The sequence below is a fragment of the Homo sapiens genome, chromosome 12 (genome assembly GCF_000001405.40).
Source record: "Homo sapiens chromosome 12, GRCh38.p14 Primary Assembly".
NCBI classification, from domain to species: Eukaryota; Metazoa; Chordata; class Mammalia; order Primates; family Hominidae; genus Homo; species Homo sapiens.
In genome coordinates, this window is record NC_000012.12 from 10153934 (window position 1) to 10158300 (window position 4367).

The following is a 4367-nucleotide window of genomic DNA, read 5'->3' on the forward strand; positions in this document are numbered from 1 at the left end:
GGACTTGAGAGGGGCTGGAGGGCAGGAGGTCCTGCGGAACAGAAGTGCCCCACTCCGAAGGGAAAGTCGACCCTGCTGTTCTCTTTGCGCGGCAGTCAGTGGGGTTAGAGTTATTCGGAAGAGGACGGAGAGCCTTGGGGGATGGGTGCGCATGGCCATGTTCCACTGGAACTGCCCCCAACGCAAAACAAACAAACAAACAACAACAACAACAAAAACCGGGCTCTATGCAGGCTGGAGTTCTGCCTCTGCCTGCTTGTAGGGCATATCCCCATGCCAGTTCGAATGTTTATGGGGAGTGTAGGATCTCTTGTGGCTGGAATCCTAGAGGTCCACAGCAAGAGTGGGCTGCCTTGCCAAGGGTTGTTCAGGGCCAGGAACTGGCACTGGTGTTCCAGAACCTGAAAGGGTTCCCGGTCTCCCTTTCTGTCAGCGGGAGTGGTGCTTCCTGTCTGCGTCTATTTGGCCATCTTGTCTCTGTTGACCAAATAGCTTTTTTGAGAAGAAAAATGAAATTGATAAATCTCTAGCTAAGCCGATTAGTTTTAAAAAAAAAAGATACAATTAACACTGTCAGGAAGGAAGTGGCAATGCTAAAGATTCTACAGATATTCAAATAATTTTTAAAAATGGTATGCCAATAAATTAAACAACTTAGATGAAGCTCATAAATTCCTTGAAAGTAACCACCAAAGCTCATTGAAGAAGGAATCCTTTGAACAGCTCAACATCTAAAAAAAACTGAATCTGGCCGGGTGCGGTGGCTCACGCCTGTAATCCCAGCACTTTGGGAGGCTGAGGCGGGCGGATCACAAGGTCAGGAGTTCGAGACCAGCCTGGCCAGCATGGTGAAACCCCGCCCCTACTAAAATACAAAAATTAGAGGGACATGGTGGCTCGCGCCTGTAATCCCAGCTACTTGGGGGCTGAGGCAGGAAAATCGCTTGAACCCGGGAGGCGGAGGTCGCAGTGAGCCGAGATGGTGCCACTGCACTGCAGCCTGGGCGACAAAGCAAGTCTCCGTCTCAAAAAAAAGAAAAAAAAGAAACTGAATCTGTAGTTGAAAACCTTACTACAAAGAAAACCCTATGCCCAGATGACTTCAAGGGTAAATTGTATCAAACATTTAATGAAGAAATAGTACTAATTCTAAACCAAATCTTCCAGAAAAATTGACATTGAGAAATATTTATCTGATATTCAAATAAGGCAAAGTCATAAAGAGAAAAGAAAACTATGTTTAAAAATACTGGCCATGGCCAAGCACGGTGGCTCACACCTGTAATCCCAGCACTTTGGGGGCCTAGGCGGGCAGATCACCTGAGGTCAGGAGTTCGAGACCACCCTGGCCAACATGGTGGAACCCTATCTCTACTAAAAATGCAAAAATTTGCTGAGTATGGTGGGGGGTGCCTGTAATCCCAGCTACTCAGGAGGCCAAGGCAGGAGAATCGCTTGAACCCGGGAGACAGAGGTTGCAGTGAGCCAAGATCGCGCCACTGCACTCCAGCCTGGGCGACAGAGCAAAACTCCACCTCAAAAAAAAAAAAAAAAGTACTGGCCAGGCATGGTGGGTCACACCTGTAATCCCAACACTTTGAGAGGCCGAGGCAGGAGGATCACTTGAACCTGGGACTTCAAGGCCAGCCAGGGCAACATAAGAAGAGCCTGTCTCTTTCTCTCAAATTAAAATAATTAGCTGGGGATGATGGTGCATGCCTGTGGTCACCGTTGTCCCAGCTACTTTGGAGGCTGAGGCAGGAGGATCACTTCAGCCTGGGAGGTCAAAGCTTCAGTGACCTGTGGTCGTGCCACTGCAGTCCAGCCTGGGCAACAGAGTAAGACTCTACCTCTAAAAAACCAGAACAAAATGAACAGAAACAAAAAACCCATAAATATAGTTGCAAACATTCTAAGCCAAATTTTAACAGAAATAACCCATAATATAATACATATAACAGATCTAATCCATTAATATAATGCAATCCTAAATTGTTTTAACCTTATATAATTAATGAGTGTAATTCATGTTAAAAGACTAGAAATTTTTAACCTAAAAAAAAACAAAGAAAATACTAGATATTTTTAAAATAAAAATGTATATATAATCATCTCAATAGATGTAGAAAAATATTAGACAAAATTAACACCTATTCCTGATCAGTCCTCTAAGAATGCAAGGAACAAAAGGGAACTTCCTAAAACTGATTAAGGACGTCTATGAAACATCTACAGTTTACACCATACTTAGTGGTGCAACACTGAATGATCTCTTCTCAAGATCAATTTCAAAATAAGGATATTGTTCTCACTACTTTTATTTCTCATTGAACGGGAGGTTCAGGCAAGGAAAAGAATAAAAGCATTGGAAAGGAAAAGATAGAAGTGCTTCCGCTGGCACACAGAATGATTATTTGTGTAGAAAATCTGATGACATCTACAAAAAAAGTTACTAGAAGAAACAAATAAGTTTATCAAGGTTTCAGAATATAAGGTGAATATTTAAAAGTCTATTATATTTCTCCATACTAGCAATAAACAGTTGGAAATTAAAATTATCAATGATAATTCCCATGTACAGTAGCGTCGAAACTATGAAGTATATATGGTAAGCTAACAAAATATGTAAAAATATCTGTAAGAGAAAACTGCAAAACATTGCTCAGAGAAATTTTAAAATACCTAAATAAATGCAGAGACATACTTTATTCAAGAGTCAGAAAAATCAATATTTTTAAGGTTTCAATTCTGCCCAAATCGATTTGTAGATTCAATGTAATCACAATCAGAATTCCAAAAGAGTTTTTGTAGAAATTAGTGAGCCAATTCAAAAATCAATATGGAAAATATAGTGACATAGCTCAGCCAATGTAACTTTGCAAAAGAAAAATAAATTTGAAGGACTGTCACTGCATGATTTTAAGATTTATTATAAAACTACAGTATTCAAAATAATGTGGTGGTGGTGTATAAATACGCAAATACAAAAATACAACAATCAGTGGAATAAAATAGAGAGTTTAGAAATAATCCCATGAATATACAGACAACTGATTGGTGATAAAGGTGCAAAAGCAATTTAGTAAAGAAAAATAGTCTTTTCGACAAATTTACATTTGTCGAATTAATCCCAAATAAATCATAGACCTCAGTATAAAACCTGAAGCTATAAAATGTCTAGAAAAAAATAAAGGAGAAAATTTTTGTGACCTTGAGTTAGTCAATGAGTTCTTACAAACCACAGCAGAATAATAAAAATGGACTTCATTAAAATAAAAAACTTCTGCTTTATGAGTATATTGTTCAAAGAATGAAAAGACAGGCTGGGCGGTGGCTCACACCTGTAATCCTAGTACTTCGGGAGGCCAAGGCAGGCAGATCACTTGAGGTCAGGAGTTCAAAACCAGCCTGGCCAACATGGTGAAACCCCATCTCTACTAAAAATACAAAAACTTAGCCAGGCATGGTGGTGGGCACCTGTAATCCCAGCTACTTGGGAGGCTGAGGCAGGAGAATCACTTGAACCTGGGAGGCGGAAGTTGCAGTAAGCTGGGATTGCACTACTCCAGCCTGGGCAACAGAGTGAGACTCCCTCTCAAAAAAAAAAAAAAAAAGACAAGACAAGAAAAACATTTCAAGATGCATATCTGATAAAAGGTTTTTATCCCAAATATATAAAGTTCTCAAACTCAACAGTAAGAAAAATAAACCAAGTAAAAATTCTCAAAAGATTTATACAGTTACTTTATCAAAGTTACCTAATACAGATGGTAAATAAGCTTATAAAAATTTGCCTGGGGCGGTGGCTCACGCCTGTAATCCCAGCACTTTCAGAAGCTGAGGTGGGTGGATCACCTGAGGTCAGGAGTCTGAGAACAGTCTGGCCGACATGGTGAAACCCCGTCTCTGCTAAAAATACAAAAATTAGCTGGAAGTGGTAGCGGGCGCCGGTAATCCCAGCTACTTGGGAGGCTGAGGCAGGAGAATTGCTTGAACCCAGGAGGCGGAGGTTGCAGTGAGCTGAGATTGTGCCACTGAACTCCAGCCTGAGCAACAAGAGCGAAACTCTGTCTCAAAAACAAACCAACAAACAGAAATTTGTAGGATACACAGATTAAAACTATGAGGATATACCATTCGATATCTACTAGAATCATTAAAACTATAAGACGAACCATATGAAATTCTGGCATGGATGAGATGGAACTGGAGCACTCATACACTGCTGGTAGGAATGAAAAATGGTACAACTTTGGAAAAGAGTTTGTCAGTTTCCTAAATAGTTAATCATACACCTACTGTGTGATCCAGACGTTATACTCCTAAGTATTTAACCAAGAGAAAAGAAATCCTATGTTCATACAGAC